At 39.2% G+C, this 19,483-nt stretch overlaps 1 protein-coding gene across 21 annotated transcripts in view; it reads right to left on the bottom strand.

Moving 5' to 3' along the window:
* KDM4C (lysine demethylase 4C) overlaps positions 1-19,483 on the bottom strand; it is a 454,786-nt gene that overhangs the window by 284,179 nt on the left and 151,124 nt on the right. For all 21 annotated transcript variants that reach the window (NR_148680.3, NR_148679.3, NR_148677.3 and 18 more), the window contains 2 exons: positions 11,409-11,458; positions 3,407-3,510 (listed from right to left, as the gene is read on the bottom strand). Coding sequence is in view for 12 of the 21 variants with exons in the window: in NM_001146696.2 (NP_001140168.1) it covers positions 3,407-3,510; positions 11,409-11,458 (154 nt within the window). In the remaining 9 variants the exon portion in view is untranslated. The remainder of the gene's footprint in view (positions 1-3,406; positions 3,511-11,408; positions 11,459-19,483) is intronic.

Below are 19,483 nucleotides of genomic sequence, written 5' to 3'. Positions count from 1 at the left end.
CTCTACAGATTTGTTATAATGGATATTTAATATTAATAGAATCATATAAAGTATGATCTTTTGTTACTGAATTCTTCCACTTAGCATAAACTTTTCAAAGTTCACCCAGGTTGTAGCATGTGCCAGTACTTCACTTCCTTTTATGGCTGAATAATCTTCCATTACATAAAATATATCACACTTGCTTATTTATTCATCAGCCAACAGACATTTGGTCATTTCCAATTTGGGCACTAGGAATAATGGTGCTATGGATAATTGTCCATGCCCCTATTATTTCATCACCCAAGAGCGCTCCCTCATCCCTAACCTAGACCATCCCCTGCCCATCCCCTACTCCCACCTCAGTAATAATCACTCTTCTGATACCTTTCACCACTGATTAGCTTTGCCATGTTATGGATGCTAAAATGGTATTGGAGATGGGGAAAGTATTATTTTTCCCAACAATTCTGAAATGTAACTCATAACACCACTGTCCCGTGCCAAAGAAACCCCAGAAGATGTTCTGCTGCAATGAGCTCAGTTGTCACCTGGCAGCAGAGACAGGCTTACCAGTGCCCAGCACGGTTCAAGCTCCATTATCTGAGCCACGTGAGAACATAGCCCAACTCTCTCCTTTCCTGGTCTCACTGAATCTAATTAATTATCTAGGTGCTTCTTTCTTATCCTACGTAATGAAACAAAACTCACCCTGCTCCCACATAAAGGTGAGAGGAGAGGGAGGACTGCTGCCACTGGAACAAGAAAACTACTTTTCCCGCTCCATGGAATCCTACCTACAAACCTTCTCTACCCTACCTAGAAAATCCAGCTCATGCCATGATTTAAAAAAAAAAAAGAGCACCTGTTACACAGAATGCAACTCTGAATTTTAGGCCCCTGTCATTTCCAAAAACAGGTCAGTCCCAATCTCATACCATAAAAGAAGCTAGAGAAGAGAGTGGATATAATCTAAATGCAGACATCAGCTGTTTATTACACTTATGTTTTCATACATATGTATGAATATGGCAAATACAATGAAAGAAGGAAAAAATGTATTCCAACTGAGACATTATTACCTACAGGAAGAGGGCTGAGTTGAAGAGGAAGAGTACGTTACTATGCAACATATACTATTCAAAACTCTGTCTATAGATTATCTTTCTCGTCACAGTAACCCTATTAAGTAGTCACTATTTTTATCCCATTTTACAGTCGAAGAAACTAAAGCTCGGAAAGATTATGCGACTGAATCAGGAATGAACTCAGGAGGTTTAATCCTGCAGCCTGTGCTACCATTGTGCTGCCCTATCATATGTTACGCTATCATCACCAGGTAAATGTGGTTCTTGAGGAATACAGTGTCATGACAGGCCCTGTGTTGAGGTGGAAAGGGGAAGTGACAGTATTAAATATGAGGAAGTGCCACTGCCAATCAACCCTCAAAGTCACTGGTGTTTCACCATTTCAGGACTTAAATTCATCTCGCCACTTTCCACAGAAGCCATCCACAAAACACCAGATGAGAGCCCAATGCCTCCAGCGATCTACCATGTAGTACTGGTAGAGAGCTGCAGCCTAGAAAGAGGGTGCCAGGCACCTCTAGAAAAGAGCTCCAAGCTCCAGAGGCCTCCCTCCTGGGGAAAGGGAGCCAATCCCACAGCCCTGCTGCCTCACATAACTTCTCTTCACGTATCAGCCTTAAGCTACCACCAACACCTAACACCAGCCCCAAAGGAACAGAGAAGGATTTTGTGTCTTGGGGATACTGTTGCATTCCTTCACGTCTACCTTGTAACAGTCCAACTTAAGTAAAAGTACCTAATGAAGCTGATGCCAACTACTTAAAAGAAGCACTGGATGATGATGTGTCTGAGACTCACAAAAGCCTGGTGCCCAGAGGTGTCTGCAGATGGGACAAAGCCCCACAGCCACAGCAGCCCCTCTGAGTGGCACAGCCTGTGCCCTCTGTACCCAGCAGTTCTGCAGCCCATCCATAGTGCCTCCCTACACCCGCAGGCAGCCCCCACGGTGCACATCTCGGAGGCACGATTTTTTCATGGTAAAAACGTGCGAGTAAACCAGTGATGAGGGCACATTCACAAAAGCAAGCATATCTTGTGCGTGACTGCTGCATAGACAGTTTATGAGGGAGCAGGGAATCACCTCAAGCTGAAGAATGAACCCTGGCACTTGAAAAACTTCTACTTTGAACAAATCCCCCCCACCCTCCCACACACACACACACACACACACACACACACACACACACAAAAAGAAGGCCACAGTAAGAACCTAAAGTGAAGAAAATGTAAAGATTTAGTCACAAGCAAAAAGCTTCCAAGATGGAAAGCAGCAAGGATTATGAGAAGAAAAGTCAAATAAAAAACACAGAAGGGCCGGGCGCGGTGGCTCACGCCTGTAATCCCAGCACTTTGGGAGGCCGAGGCGGGCGGATCACGAGGTCGGGAGATCGAGGCCATCCCGGCTAAAACGGTGAAACCCCGTCTCTACTAAAAATACAAAAAAATTAGCCGGGCGTAGTGGCGGGCGCCTGTAGTCCCAGCTACTTGGGAGGCTGAGGCAGGAGAATGGCGTGAACCCGGGAGGCGGAGCTTGCAGTGAGCCGAGATCCCGCCACTGCACTCCAGCCTGGGCGACAGAGCGAGACTCCGTCTCAAAAAAAAAAAAAAAAAAAAAAAACACAGAAGAAGGAAGAGCTATTTTTTAATGTTTCTGCAAGCAGCTAAGTACTTAATCCTCCTGAGACTGAGAGGGAGATTTTATTTATCTGGTCAAAACCTTTTTTCATATCAGCTGCTTCACATAAAAATGTTTGAGCTCTGCAATAATTCTGACCCAATAACCACCCACAGACACAAAGAATGTGGGATCCAGCATCTACTGAGTTTTATAGAACCTAATCTTCAGAAAACTCGCAGAAGCAATATCAGATTATTAAATCATCAGGCAATTTTATCCATAATGAAATCTCGATTGTATTATGTCTAAATGTGTTTACAAGCAACATAGTGCTACCATAATCATTGATTCTAAGCAACCCATTGCTAATAATTGCTCTGAAATTTTTAGAAAATAGATCACATATACATAAATTATGTTACTCATAAAAAAGATTTTAATATAGAAGTGCTTCCTCTTATTTTATAGAATGTGCTACATTTTATTTTCAGTACAATTATAAGTGAACTATAGCAACATGAAATCTCTAGTAAATATATTTGAAATAAAATTAATTTCTAATTAGGATTTAGATAAATAATTGATATGCTATAAAACATAAATTTGAATTTCTCTACCCACATCCTAAAAATTCTACTGGAAGTTAAAGATACATTACTTCTTAAATACAAATCCTACACAAACAAAATTAATTTGTGTAAGATGAATACTAACATACCTTGTCAAAGGGAATACCATATTTCTTCAATACTGATGGAGAAATCAATGTCATCTTGTGGCGAAGAAATGCATCACACCCTTGGGAGCTGCTTGGGAAAAAACCTAAAAAGAAACAATAAATGTAAGTGGCACTGTGTCGATTAAGAGAAAATATCAAATAGGTTTTTTAATGTGTAAGTTCTAGTGTTCTTACTGTTTGACTTATGCAAGTATGGACCTCTTCTGCCAAAAAGCCCTTGTACTAAAACTCAGAGTCAGAGTTAGAATTCTTAAAAATTAAAGGATACATCACCAAAGGTTGATCTTCTTTACAAACAGATTTACCATAAGTTGTTTTTGTAACCTGTAAAATTACTCAACTTTAGGAATAAATTTCAATTTGAAACAAATGTGGATTCAATCTATTATCTGATAAATGGAGAAAATATTTAGGGAAGTTAGGAAAGATAAATACGTGGGATGCTGGATCTATAGCTAAAAATACAGGGGAAAAAAAGGAAAGATAAGTATGCATTCCTGAAGCACTCATCCCAATCCTCGGCATACAGCAGACAGAGTAGTTCCCCCACCTTTCTGTTTCTTTTCTGATTAATCTGAAACTAATTGCTACTAATCTCCTGAATGAACTTCCCAGCCATCACCCATCAACTGTCTGAGAACCTGCCTGAACAGCCTGAATGGGAGAAGTGTTTTGAGGAGGCTTTTAAATGAGGAAGTTAAACATACAACAACCCTTTCATTCAACAGTATATTATACGCCAAGACAGAGTCAGTTTTCTCCATCGCTGACTTCAAACCTGCAGTTCTGTCTGAGGCAGACTCTCATTAACTCAGTGATGCAAGCTGGAAGAAAATGAACATGTCTGATGTACTGCTCCACACCTTCCTCACTCAGAGGGAAGGCAGCCATGCTGAAGGGATTGGAAAAACAAGAAACAAGGAAAAGACAGAGAATCATGGAGGGAGAACACAAAAGGAAGAGAGAAGGCACCAGGAAGGCACATGCAATGCATATGTGTGACAGGATGAGGCGTAGATGCTGTCTGACTCCTCCACCACCAGAATGAGGGGGGAAACTGCTGGAAATGTGACATCTAACTCTGTGGATCTCTCTATGCAGATAACTCAAGAACGTGACCAATTTGGCCAGGTACGGTGACTCACGCCTGTAATCCCACCACTTTGGGAAGCCAAGGCAGGTGGATCACTTGAGGCCAGGAGTTTGGGACAAGCCTAACACAGCAAAACCCGGGTTCTACTAAAAAATACAGGCCAAGTGCGGTGGTTCACGCCTGTAATCCCAACACTTTGGGAGGCTGAGGCGGGTGGTCCACAAGGTCAGGAGTTCGAGACCAGCCTGGCCAACATGGTAAAACCCCGTCTCTACTACAAATACAAAAAAATTAGCGAGGCATGGTGACGCACACCTGTGGTCCCAGCTACTCAGGACACTGAGGCAGGAGAATTGCTTGAACCCGGGAGGTAGAGGTTGCAGTGAGCCAAGATCGTGCCACTGTACTCCAGCCTGGATGACAGAGTAAGACTCCTCAAAAAAAAAAAAAGGAAAAAAGAAAAAAAAAAATTAGGCGGGCATGGTGGTGCGTGCCTGTAGTCCTAGCTGCTCAGGAGGCTAAGGCATGAGATTCACTTGAACCCAGGAGGCAAGGGTTGCAGTGAACTGAGATTGCACCACTGTACTCCAGCCTGGGCAACGAGAGAGACTCCAAAAAAAAAAAAAAGATAGGAAGGAAGGAAGTTCAATAAAACATGAGAAATGTTAATTCTTTACAATGTCTCTTAATAATGCAGCCCTCTGCTTATGGTTAATATTCATAATACATAAACACAAAATAAAACACTGGTGAGTGGAGGGAAAGTAAGACACTAATATAATGGCCATGTCCACACAACAAGATGTCCTAAGTCCTACACACAGAGAAGGGCACCAAGGGGCAGTCCCCAAATGCACAATCCATGGGAACGTTTTTATAAACAATTCAAATGGATCCATCAAACTTCTCAAATCTGTAACTTTCTGCAACACTGATGAATTAAGTTTTAAATTAAAATCAGTGAAGAAAGAAGAGTCTATTCCATTTTCTTTCAATATAGATTTGTAATCAGGACCTGAACAATGTGGTGACTGGTCATAAGTTAACCTAAATTGGAAAACCACTGAAGGAAGGTAATTTGCAGTATATTAAGAATTTCACATTGGTTCAGAATTTATATTTACAATATGCTATCAGAATTATATTTTACATAGTCCTGAAAAACACTTCATAAACAACGCATCTTATGTACAAAGTATGTGCCTTAAAATGAATTTTACCTCAAAATACCTGCAGGGCTACATGGTTCATACTCACTCTCACTCCATAGTCTATAAAACACAGTCAATTCCTTGCCATACTAAAGTCAACTGCCTTTTTTTTTTTTTTGTCTTTTTTAAGATATTATACAGGATCAAGCAAGCAAAGATGGTCTTTGGAATCATTCTTCCAATCCAAATAATAAGTTAGAGGGATGGAAGGCTAGGATAATAAAAAGCTTGTATTCCAGAGACCCCAACAGAGCCCTAAAACCCTAAAAGCAATCCACAATAACCTTTCCTAAGAACACCAAAGTGCTGCTGAGAGTTTTGCAACACAGAGAAGTGTGTAGGATCTCATAAGCTCTCTCAAGGATCACGTGCTATACCCATCCAAAGGATGTTTCACATACAATGTAAAAGTGAGCATGTGTGAAAAGCATTATTCTAAGTGAAAAAAGCAAAAAACAAGTCTACACATAGTATGATTCCACTTATATGACACTTTAGAAAAGGTAAAACGATAGGGACAGAAACCAGATTAGTGGGTGACAGGGAAGGGGAGAGTGGTTAAGTACAAAGAGGTGTGAGGGAACTTTTTTGGGGTATTGGAAATGTGTTACATGTTGATAACAGTGGCTTATCATGTGGTTTATTAATTACACCACTGTAAACATTTGTCAAAACTCAATGAGCTCTATTCTTAAAATAAGTGAATTTTACTGTAGATTTTACCTGAATAAAACTGACTCAAAAAAATCATTAAATCTTTTGAAACTATTTTTGAAATAGAGTGGATGTGTCTAAAAATATGGAACAGGTGTGTTCCTTCCTTCAAATGAGAAGTTCTCTATACTGTCAACTGGTTTATAGTTTATAATATATTAGCTATTGCTAAGAAATTATTTTTAAATCCCAATCTTTTATGATTCAAATACAAACACACGCTATAGTATTAAATCACCAAAAATTTCAGCCTTGAGAAAAGAGTTTAAGATCAAAGCTTAGTGACATTTTTATGGGTATACAAACACTAATTTGGTGAAGATAATGATAGCCATTAACTTTTTAGGAAAGGGGAGAGAAAGACAAGAAACAAAGGAGGGAGGAAGGAAAGAAAATCAAACATGTAGATCTATTTCCAAACTAGTAAAAAATTTTTCTTTACAATTTTACTTGATAATTGAAATTTGCCCAAGTATGCTTTGATGAAGTTTTATCGTGGTTTTATATGACTGGTATGAGGCTTGAAAAATATAGCAACCATATAAACAAAAGCTAAGGAAAAGAATACAAGAAAAAGGTATAGAAAATTGGTTCAGTGAAAAATGCTTTCAGAAACAGATGTACTGTATTTGATTTACACATGAAATTTCTTGGCAAGCTTATTTATGAAAAGAACCAATGACCTACATTGTATGCAGAGAAACCTAGTAACATTTACCCACAGCTCTACTTGAGAGGTTGACATGAGAGGCACATATTACATTTGGCCTCTTGGTGCTTGCTAACGTTCACGGAGTGGTTACTCAGGAATGGATAGAAAATTATCCTTTCGCAGGCCTCACTTGACCCTAACGTCCCATAATCCATCAACATCTCTACCAGCAGAGCGCTCCAGGAGGAGTGCCAGGAGAACTTCATACTGATCCTGGAATGGAGAATGGCGCTTCTCCTAAACAAGTGGCTTGTTTTAATCTCCTAGACATGGTGCGCGTTGTGTAATGGGCAAGTTTTTTCCATTTCAAGATAATTAGCAGAAAACCGAGATTTAAAATTTCCACCCAGTTTAACTGGTGTGTGTGTCATTACACGCATGGGGTTTTTTTTACTGCATTCCTGAGACCACTTAATTTCAGCTCTCACTTCCCACCCCCTTGAAATATCCATGGATAATCTACGCACAAGTCACCAAGGACTCCCCAAGCCAAGAACATTGGGATCAAACTGGTCAGAGTTAAACTAACCAGGATTCTTCTGGCTCTGCCTCTGCCCAGCCCCATTGGCACCCTCAAATCAAAGAAATCTTCACTTCCCCATAATTCCTCCCTACTAGTTGACATTCATTTCCTGAATTCTTCCTCTCCATTCTCGGTTAAGAGAAGGGAACTAAAAGTCTTTCACTCACAAATGAATTATGTTATTTGGGTGTATTTCATGTATTATTGCCCGATGTCTAAAATCCCACTAGGAACATGGCTGGATATAAAATATCCAATTACATTTAAATACAGACAGTGATATCACTGACATCAAATTGTTAAGAAATTAAGTTTACCAACCGTTTCTTCACTCTTAGTGAAATCCAGCTGATAGACGAAAATAAACATACCCTGACGCACCACACATTGATCTCCATGCCTAAGGCATGAGTTAGGCATGAAGGCAGAGGATATATCACTGGTCTTTTGCATTTTTTATGGCTTACAGGGTACTTTAAAATTGATTATTTATAATCAGAGGTATTTTATTTATAAGCCTTTCAAAACTAGACATTTCAATATAATATTTCAGACTATCAGCTAAGTGAATGCTTAAGGGAATAATATTTACCATTTTGAGAGCTAATAAAAGTACATTTCCCTAATTTCCAAGAGAGAGGTATGAGAGCAGGTTAATTTAGAATCTGTTCATAAAATTAAAATGATTTATTTATTGCTGCTCTTCTATTCTCTTGACAGCAGTGGCTCATAATCCTTTTCGGACCAAACGATCTCAGGGGATTTGATGATGGCGTTCCCAGAAATCTACGTATATGCCCAACTTTGAATATAATTTCAAAGAGTCCACTGAATGCCTGTCTGCATCCCACCCATTGACCTTTATCTACCCCCTGGCACAGGGATCTCTGCAAATCGGGCTATGACCTCTTACTCCACAGGATTAAAATCAAGATTACTAGCCATTAAAAAAATTCCACAATGTGCGTGCACGTGCACACGCGCACACACACACACACACACACACACACACACACAAATGCTTAAAAGCATGAACTAAACTAACCCTTGGTAGCAATGTTTCTTCTATTCCCTTTTGCTAAATACTGCTTTTTTAATAAGGTAACAAAACCAACATTTGTTTCAAGTAAATATAAGGATCTAAAAGAATTGACTCACTTCCACTACACTGTCCTTTGAAATAAGTTTCCTCCTAATTGTTCACACTTTCAAAACTGGCTGCACAAAGTCCTAAATCACATATTTTGGACGAGTAACCAAAATTTTCAAAGTAAATCCTTTTCAGTTTTTTAAAATAATAGCATTTTATTCCCAATAAAGGACAAATGAAATATGAAATACTACTTTTCACAAAAATCTGTACACTTTCTCAATTTACCTAACTTAATATAACAGCAATATTATCTTTTTTCTAAAATAGGTGAGATTTAGACATTTTAAAAACTGAAAATCTTCCAAACTGTCATTCATGATTTAACATTATAACTCTCTTCTCCTCCATATTTGCAATCCAATTGTATCAAACCAAAAATTAGAAAGAATGCAATGGCATTACAGACGAATATAACAAGTATAAAAATTGTAACAATTCACTTGAGATTTTTATTACATTTATGTCTATATAATATGGGGAAAACCTGTATAAATAAGAAAGCAGCTGAAGGGCGAAATCAAACTCCTGGCTTTATTAGATGCAGGCCTAATGTCTTTTGGATAAAATATTTGTAGGTGCCACAGTCAATCAAGATTTCAATAGAAACCAAAGATGAAAGCATTCATGCATAAAAGGCAAGTGTGATAATTATGATGCGCAGACAAGATAATGGAAAATATCTGAGCCTACTTTTCATTTTATGAATCAAGTGTTGCTATCAGCTAGACATTCTAAAATGCTCCATCATTCGCACTGCATTATTTTATCATTTTAATTATTTAGCAGAATTCAATTATTTTGGCTGGCATCTGGTCATCAGATACAAATCCTTCACTATCTTGCAGGGTCTTTTCCCTGCTTTATTCCTCAAAATATTGCTGCAAAAGAGTTTTGAATAAACAGGCAACTGATTTCAAGTTCTTGTTCATCCTTCAAGTTCATTAACCTCTTACTGATTAAACAAACGGTAACCATTTTCTGGAATGTCATTTTCAGACAGTTTACGTCAAAGCATTAGAAGTTTATATCAGAAATTTTAGTCTGTGACTCAATATTGTAAGGTTTACATCGGCTTCATTTTAAAAGTTCTCTGGTAGCAAGATTAATAGAAAATGGTGGAAAAATTTTATTACAGAGAAGAAGACAGTTGAGAATATAGTCTTAACACAAAGTTCACTTCCTACGTAGTTAAGTGTTACAGTAATCATCTTATAAGCTCTACTCTAATCTATTATCCAAAACTTATTCATGAAAACAGTCCCTAACAAAGTTCAAGATTACAATTACATCAATCGCTATTATTACTATTATGTATTACATTTTTAAAAAGACACTTTATAGTTATTAGCCTGACAAAATTATAATAATGCTTCTTAAAATGTAATACTATAACTGTTCCTTCTAATACTCTTCTGTAATTTAGGGAAAAGTAACCTTTAGGTGCCATTAACAGTTTCTGTTAAAAACTGTCAAGTCAAGCAATGAGGTTTCTCAGTGTCCCCATTTCATTATTAATTGAAAGCACATATAAGGCAGGAACAAAATTCTTTTCCTAATAGAAGGCAAACCTAACACACCAATGAAACTTAGATCTGCACTGGACTAAAAGAGCACTGCTCACTGAGGACTCAATCCTGGATAAAGGCAGAAGGCCTTGCTCCTCAGTTGTCACTCAAATGGAACTCCACTTTTCCCTGGAAATAAGTCACTACCAGCCTACATCTTCTTTCTGGAAGGGTGGCTAGCAAAACAGAAGATAAGGATGGCAGGGGGTGAATGTGACTCTGCTTCCCATACGTAAGTAGATGAGGGCAAGGCCGCCTGGCTTATCTTTAAAAAAAAGGAGGAAGGAGGAAGGTGGCTGCTTGCATTGGCATTGTCTACACACACAAAAGCAGGCACAGGATCATCAATAGAGGTCCAGAAAAGTTCTTTATTCTGGCCCTAAAGAAGAAGCAGCAGGCCATGAAAAATAAAAATGCAACCTGCAGTAAAGTAAGTTTAATTTTGCCAGTCCAAGAAGGCCCAAAATCTCATGTGTATTGTTACTCAGAGCCATTCACCTTCACACTTCCCTAAGGGCACACCTCCAGTCCCAGTGGGCCACAGAAGAACTGGGCGTCGGCAGTGACATAACCCTTGGGGGAAACAGCAGATCAACAGAAAAAGTAGTCATGAAAAAACCATACCCCAAGATGCAGCAACAATACCGTCTGGAAGAATGTAACTTAATTTAAAAAAAAATTATTGGCACAATGACGTTGAATGCATTACATTAAAAACAATTTTTTTAGAAACTACCAAAACAGATTAAGGGCAATCACTTGATGAAATACTAAACAGTCAACTAAAATAACCATGACGATTATGCAATAGGGAAAAAATAATATTCACAAACTAAGGTGAAAAAATTTAAAATTGTTCAATTAAAAAAACATGTAAAAGTCAATAACTTGAATAGAATAAAACCAACAGAGTAACGGTCTATATTGTAAAAAGTACCTCAAAAACAAAGAACCTACAAAACACAGAAACATATAAAACACAGAAAACAAATTTAAAAAGCAAGTTTTACCTTGAGCTAGTCTTTCAAGTCGTTTTCCATGCTCCGGAGGTATAGCATACCTAAAATTTTAAACATAAGTAAAAATTTTAGGTTTATAATTTTTCAGCTAGTAGCCTAAGGACATCTATTCCTAAATAATGTCACATAAAAGAAATTCAACACCAAACTCCACTTAGATGAACTGAGTAGAGATTAGAAAGCCAATCACAGAGTCATATTCCTTAGACAATGAACAGAAAAAAAATATGCCTATAAATTACCAATTTCAATGTCACAACTCATCATGCCAACCACATTTTACAAATTAGGGAACAAAGGCCCAAGGCAGGTAAACTGCTCAGCAACAAGACAGCTAGTCACAGCCTAGAGACCCTCTGTGCCAGCTCTCATAGCACCCCAGCACTCTAGGGTTGTTTTGGTTGTATGTTTTTCGTTTTGTGGTTGGTTGATTTTGGCTTTTGTTTTTAAGAAAATCTGGGTTGCTCTCTTTCTAAATTTTAAAATATTTTTATTGACAAGCAGAACAGAACACAAAATTATTACACCAACATTTATATTTCCACCAAATCTTACTAAGAACACCGTAATTTTCAAACAGACTTTAATAAGCAAAAGATTATCAGCCTTAAAAAAAGTTTTATTTATTTCATAATTATGTGACTTTCAAAATCTTGATTACAGCAAAAAATTTTCACCCTTAAAGAACAGAAATACTCATTTCTAGTTCCATAGTTATTTTTACTATGGACTTGCTAAGAAATTTTAAAACAACAATCTCATAATATCCTATACAAATACTAAATTGTAAAGGCATTTTAATGAGGAAATTTAATGAGGATATTAACAATAAATTTGAATAATCATTCCATGTTTTACATATAAACTATACTTTTGAAGACCTCTATTTGCTGTACTTACTAGCTCAATATATACTTAGTACAAGTTACTTCTTACTAAAGTAACTTAACTAATTTTACTTAACACCACACTTGGTTTCATTTAATGCTACTGATAACATATGCAAAACTTAATTGGATCCAATATAACTATGCAATTCACTAAAAGAAAATTCAATCATATATCCTGTTGCTTAAGGCACTGCTAATGAAATTGTTCCAACCGAAATGGGAAGACAAAATTTTAGCATAACTAAATGACTATCACCCAATGTATATTTATGGCCACTTCTTACCAGTTCTTAATTCCTGGCTTACATCACAAATATACCCAGAAAAGGGGTGTGGGTGTGGGTGTGGGTGTGGGTGTGGGTGTGGGGGTATGTCCCTTCCAAACAAGAGGGTCAGCCTTCCTCATCACACACATACATACACACACACACATACATGTAATATGAATATGCCTGCCAACAAAAAGGTAGGATATGGAGATATTTATATATGCAGATTCATTTTTCTGAAAAATTGGTAAAGTTAAAGCTCCTCAATCTAAAGTTCAACCATATGCTCACAGAAAATTTAGCTATCCTTATCTGCAGAAAGGAGGAAAAAGTAAGGCAAGATGGCTCTACTCCTACTCTGATCCTCAGTTTACTCCTAGGATCTGAATCATACCAATTCAATCTCCTCATTCCTCTCCTCCTAGGTAGGCTTACTGGCCTATTATTTTCTACAAGTATTTCCCAGGTGCAGCTATTCCTATCTTAGCCAAATGATTTAATTAGTTCTACTTTTCTTCTTTTAGATGGAAGACAGTGTCTCAATTTCTTTTCAAATTCTATAAATATCAAGTTCATTTTAAAATCATAACTAATTATTAATAAAATTCTTATGGTTAACCAACTATTGCTATAGTTTAATAGCTTCAGAAATAATCAAAGGATGAAAACTTCCTTCCAATCACAGCCCCGTACACGGAAGACATGTAATATTTCCCAAGTAGAACTAAATCCTCAAACTGAAAGCCATACTGTGGTAATATCCAGTGAAGCACAACTGGGCAAAAATGCCTTCAAGCAGAGGTCACTCTCCTTCCCTGCCTTAGTCATTATCTTGCTCAAAGTGAACCCACTCATCTCCATGCTTATCCCTGTGAAATATTTTACATGCTTCTCTCTTCTGTTATCAATGCTATGCTTTGTTACACAGTATTTAAATAATGACAAAGCTATGTAATGTTTCCTATACAAATAACTTTGAAAGTTCCCTGAATGAGCCCAAAACCCTGCCCGAGGGTCTGACAAAGGACAGTCTGAAGATAAGTAATAATGCTAATAAAACTGGAATGTCACCATCAGATTTTTCTGTTTTTAATGTTTCCACATAACAAAGGAACTAGGAAAGACTAATTTTAATGTTTTAGAAATTCAACCAAGAGCCAAATCATTGTTCTTGCCATGAACAATAAAATCAGAGCACTACCCCACTCAGCAGTCAAGAAGCAATATGCCTCCATGTACCATCTTGACAACCCCAAAATCTTGCTCAAAAGATACTACTATTCTTTTAATCAATTATCTCACTCTGTCAATAAAGCCCTAGGGGATCAAAGAACAATTCTGTTCTCTAAATACAAGTTGCAGGGCTGGAAGGGCCCTTAAAAATAATCTTGTTAGGCCAGGTGTGGTGGCTCACGCCTGTAATCCCAGCACTTTGGGAGGTCGAGGCGGGCAGATCATGAGGTCAGGAGACCGAGACCACCCTGGCTAACAAGGTGAAACCCCATTTCTACTAAAAATACAAAAAATTATCCGGGTGTGGTGGCGGGCGCCTGTAGTCTCAGCTACTTGGGAGGCTGACGCAGAAGAATGGCGTGAAGCCAGGAGGTGGAGCTTGCAGTGAGCTGAGATGGCGCCACTGCACTCCAGCCTGGGTGACAGAGCAAGACTCCATCTCAAAAAAAATCTTGCTTAGCACTTTCTAAGCCTTTTTCCTGTTTCCATACCATTACAGAGGCAGAATCACTAACACCTCTAATTACCAGCAATAACTGGCACCTGGGAGAATGAAGGACAGCAGAAACATACATCCCTCAGGGATGAAGTACCCAGCATACCCTGAAAAAAGCTCCCTAGCTGATTCTGACAGGGTAGTACATTATAATGAATGAACGAAAGAATGGGGTGATTTCTAATTACCATATCTAAGAACCTCTGCTTGGTCCTGACTCCCCACAACCTCCCTGATGTCGGATGATAGATTTGTGTATGCGAAGCTTTTTTATGTTTTTCCTTCAGATTTTTTTTTCCGGTAATACCACAATGGCCCAAGTCAGAATGCTAAACAAAAGCTTCACATAGCACTTTCAAACCTGCAGTCTATGTGTGTAGGCTGACAGACAGCCCTTGCCTGTAAGAAGGTGAGCACCTGGCTTCAGGGGCACTCAGTCACATTGCATTTGAACACTAGACTCACTGACTTCTCTGCAACAGCACCCCTGCTAACCCTACACCACGGCACTACTTTGATGGGCAACTGCAGCAATTTGAAGCCAAACACAACTCTAATCTGTTTCAAAGCATGCCATGAGAAGAGAGAGAAAGAAAGAAAAGACAACAAAACAGCAAGGTGCATATATTTTCATGTGTTTTCCAGCAACCAGCTTCCTCGGTAGAGGGGAACGCACGTTAAACAAGAACTGGAAAGCACCATCTAAGAGACATTGCACAAGCCACTTCACCACGGTCAGACCTAGTCTACCTCACAGAACAACACGGAACAGATCGACTGAGTCATATTTAGGAGCTCATTATACACTGTCAGACCTCATCTACCTCACAGAACAACACGGAATGCAGCAACTGAGTCATATTTAGGAGCTCATTATTAAAAGATGGCTAAATCACTTCTCGGCCTTTTGGCTAAGATCAAGGGTAAATGATGGCTACAAGGCAATGAGGTGAGCCTGACTTGCTGCCCCCCACATCCAGTAAACTTGAGAAAATGTTCAAAAAGTATCAGTTCAAACAATCCTAACATCAAGGGTCAGACAGGCACATAAAAGGCTGATTACAATTTGAAAGAACCCAGGAAAGCACAGTACCTTTTTGCAACCCATCGGAATATCCAAAACTCAACTCTCCAGCAGCCTGATGATCAGGCCCTATGTTCTCTTTCTCTACTGCACCATCACAGGCCCGAGCAAACGCAGGATACTCAAATCACCAGGTGGTTGAGTCATTTGGGTTACTGTCCCAAAATTTTCCTTTATAATAGATGTGCTGCTAGTAAGAATCACTTTAAAACAATCTAATTCAATTCAGGAGATAGGTGCTGAGCACCTGCCACATATAAAGCACTGCAGGAAGAACTCAAGGCATTTTCCATGTAAGTAGCGGGGGTAGAAATACATACAGATATTGCTAAGACCTATCAGAATGAAGCCTAGATTCTGACACATGGATCTCAGCAACATCAAGTGCTCAGGCACATCTACTATCATATGGCAGTTAGTGTGAATAAGAAGAGGATAAAAGAGAAGGGAAGACCTCTGACTTCTCAAAACACCCAAAGTTATCGCCACTAGAGATGAACTCTAATGCCTCAACTCTGGGATACTTATCTTACATCTGAAATAAGTATCATTACCCACTTACATTTCTAAGATTACTTCATAGTTCTACCTACCAGGCACCAGGACAAAATTAGTCTTCCTGTCCTAAACAGGAATAAGATACAACAAAACACCCACTCCTCTTTCAAATCTCAGCTCAAGACCCGCCCAGGAGAACTCCCACTCCCTCTCTTGTTGTATCAACAATCTCACATGCAGGTGTCCACCCTGGCACTCAGAATACATGTGTATTTCTACCTTCCTGCCTCCCTACTATCCTATCTCAGCTCCCTAAGAGGAAGGGTCTATGGCTTTCTCCCGGAATACAGCACCAGAAGAACAGATATTCTGTATTTGCTGACTTATATCACTCTCAAATGATAAACCATATTCCTGCTCCTCCAAGATGGAAGTCCTGGAGAAGAGGAAGGAAACGGGAAGATGAAAAAATCACGAAAGCAGAAAATGGGAAGGAAGGCTATGTCAGCAAACCTCATTTCCTGACTTTAGGGTCAGTCTGGTGTGCTCAGGACCAGCAACTGCATCCTCAATCAAACGTCTACTTCAGTCAAACTCCCAAGACCTAAATGTCTCCCAGGACTCCCTAGCAACTTTTTTTTTTTTTTTTTTAACTGTAGAGATGAGGGTTTCACTATGTTGCCCAAGCTGGTCTCAAACTCCTGGGCTCAAGTGATCCTCCCACCTCTGCCTCCCAAAGTGCTGGGATTACAGGCCACCACAGGCCACTGTGCCAGTCCACATTTTCATTATAGCATGGTCTCCCCATGCTTCATCCTTGCCTTCTCTTCATTCCTCCTGGGTCTTACCCAGAGCTATGTTGCCTACGAAGTCCACAGGCTGTGACAGACAACATGTGCTCAAGATAGATTGGGCAGACTTGGGGCTCCGAAATTCCACATAAACCACTTTCCCAGAAGAACTGCCCTAAAAATTTAGCTCCATGAATTGTAGCAGCTGCCACAAAAAAAGTCATCTAATTCCGTTATAAAATGAAAAATGAGTAATAAAGTTAAACAGCAACATGTTTGTACTTTATTAAAATATGCTAATAGTCTTTATCTAAACAAGTTTTGAAAATCAGTAAAAGTCACTGTCAGACAATAGCTGAAACAGAATGCCCTGAATGAGAGCAAATGATAGGAGGTAAAAAGCCCTTTAAAAAAACCCGGGGCTTTTAAGAAGTTTTAAATCCTGCTGCTCTGATAACATCCAAGTGTTTACTAATTGTTGTTTAACATAGTACTATGGACATACCTCATTTTATTGCACTTTGTTGTGCTTTAAAGATGCTGCATTTTTACAAACTGAAGGTCTATGGCAATGCAGTGCTAACCAAGCCTATCTGTGGCATTTTTCCAACAGCATGTGCTCGCTTTGAATGTGTGTGTCACATTTTGGTAATTCTCACATTTCAATCTTTTTCATTATTATATCTGTTATGGTGATGTGTCATCAGTGACCTTTGATGTTGCCACTGCTATTGTTTGGGGGCACCACAAACCATGCCCACATAAGAGCGTGAACATAATAAATGTGTGTGTTCTGACTGCTCCGTCGGCTAGCTGATCCTCTCTCTCTCTCTCTCTCTCTCTCTCTCTCGCTCTCTCTCACTCTCTCTCTCTCTCGCTCTCTCTCTCGCCTCTAAGTGTTCAAGAAAAAGAAGAGCTCCATGCCTCTCATTTTAAATCAAAAGCTAGAAATGATTTAGCTTAGTAAGGAGGGCATTTTGAAAGCTAAGATAAGCTGAAACTTAGGAATGCAAAGAAAAAGTTACTGAAGGAAATTAAAAGTGCTACAACAATGAACACAATGATGATAAGAAAACAAAAAACATTGCTGATATGGAGAATGTTGGCATGTCTGGACATAAGATCAAACCAGCAACATTTCCTTAAACCAAATCCTAATCCAGAGCAAGGCTTCAATTCTCTTCAATTCTATGAAGACTGAGAGAGGTGAAGAAGCTGCAGAATAAAAGCTGGACTCTAGCACCATGACGTTTCAGGAAAGCCATTGTATCCATAAGAGAGAAGTACAAGGTGAAACAGCAAGTGCTGCTGATGTATTAATAGACATTGCAGCAAATTATGAAAATCTAGCTAAGATCATTAATGAAGGTGGCTACATTAAACAACAGATTTTCAATGTGGAGGAAACCTCCTTATACCTACTAGAAGATGATGCCATCTAGGACTTTCACAGATAGAGGAGTCAATGCCTGGCTTCAAAGCTTCAAAGGGACGGGCATGGTAGCTCACTCCTGTAATCCCAGCACACCTGTAATCCCAGGCCGAGGCGGGTGGATCACCTGAGGTCAGGAGTTCAAGACCAGCCTGGCCAACATGGTGAAACCCCGTCTCTACTAAAAATACAAAAATTAGCCAGGCATGGTGGTGCATGCCTATAATCTCAGCTAATCGGGAGTCTGGGCAGGGGAATCACTTGAACCCAAGAGGTGGAGTGGTGCGCGCCTGTAATCCCAACTACTCAGAAGGCTGAGGCAGGACAATTGCTTGAACCCAGGAGGCGGAGGTTGCAATGAGACGAGATTGCACCATTGCACTCCAGCCTGGGCCACAAGAGCGAAACTCTGTCTTAAAGAAAAAATAAAAAGCTTCAAAGGACAGGTAGAACTCTATTGTTAAAGGCGAATATGGCTGGTGACTTTAAATTACATCCAATGTTCATTTACCATTCTAAAAATCATAGGACCCTTAAGAATTATACTAAACCTACTTTGCCTGTGCTGTATTCAGGAGACTCATCTCACGTGCAAAGACCCACACAGGCTCAAAATAAAGGGATGGAGGAATATTTTACCAAGCAAATGGAAAGCAAAAGAAAAGCCAGGGATTGCCATCCTAGTCTCTGGTAAAACAGACTTTAAACCAACAAAGACCAAAAAAGACAAAGAAGGCATTACATAATGGTAAAGGGATCAATGCAACAAGAAGAGCGAACTCCTAAATATATATGCACCCAATACAGGAGCACCTGGATTCATAAGGCAAGTTCTTAGAGACCTACAAAGAGACTTAGACTTCCACACAATAATAGTGGGAGACTTTAACACCCCACTATTAATATTAGACAGATAAACGAGACAGAAAATTAACAAGGATATTCAGGACTTAAACTCAGCTCTGGACCAAGTGGACCTAATAGACATTTACAGAACTCTCCACCCCAAATCAATACCTCTTTATTTCTCATCTTCTCCGCCAATAACAAGTCCTAACCACTCTACCACCTCAAAACCTTGTGTCTATCTCCCAGCAGTATCACTCCAATTTCAACCTTTATCAGCCTTCAGCTAGACTATTGTCACTATTACAGTTTAAAAACCTTCATACCTCACTGCCTGGCTTTCAAGACCTCCACAATTTAACTCCAACCTTCTTAAATATGAACATTCCACTCCCTATAGGCTGGACTAAGAATTATTCTATCACTCACATAGGTGTCAACCTCACTCCTCCCCTCAAAATACCCCTCTCCGTGTTTCAATTCACCTCTCAAACCCCACCCAGATTCCACCACTTTGAAGCCTTCTT

This window comes from Homo sapiens, chromosome 9, assembly GCF_000001405.40.
Source record: "Homo sapiens chromosome 9, GRCh38.p14 Primary Assembly".
Lineage (NCBI taxonomy): Eukaryota > Metazoa > Chordata > Mammalia > Primates > Hominidae > Homo > Homo sapiens.
The sequence above is the reverse complement of the archived record's forward strand: the minus strand, read 5'-3'. Positions and strand labels throughout refer to the sequence as shown.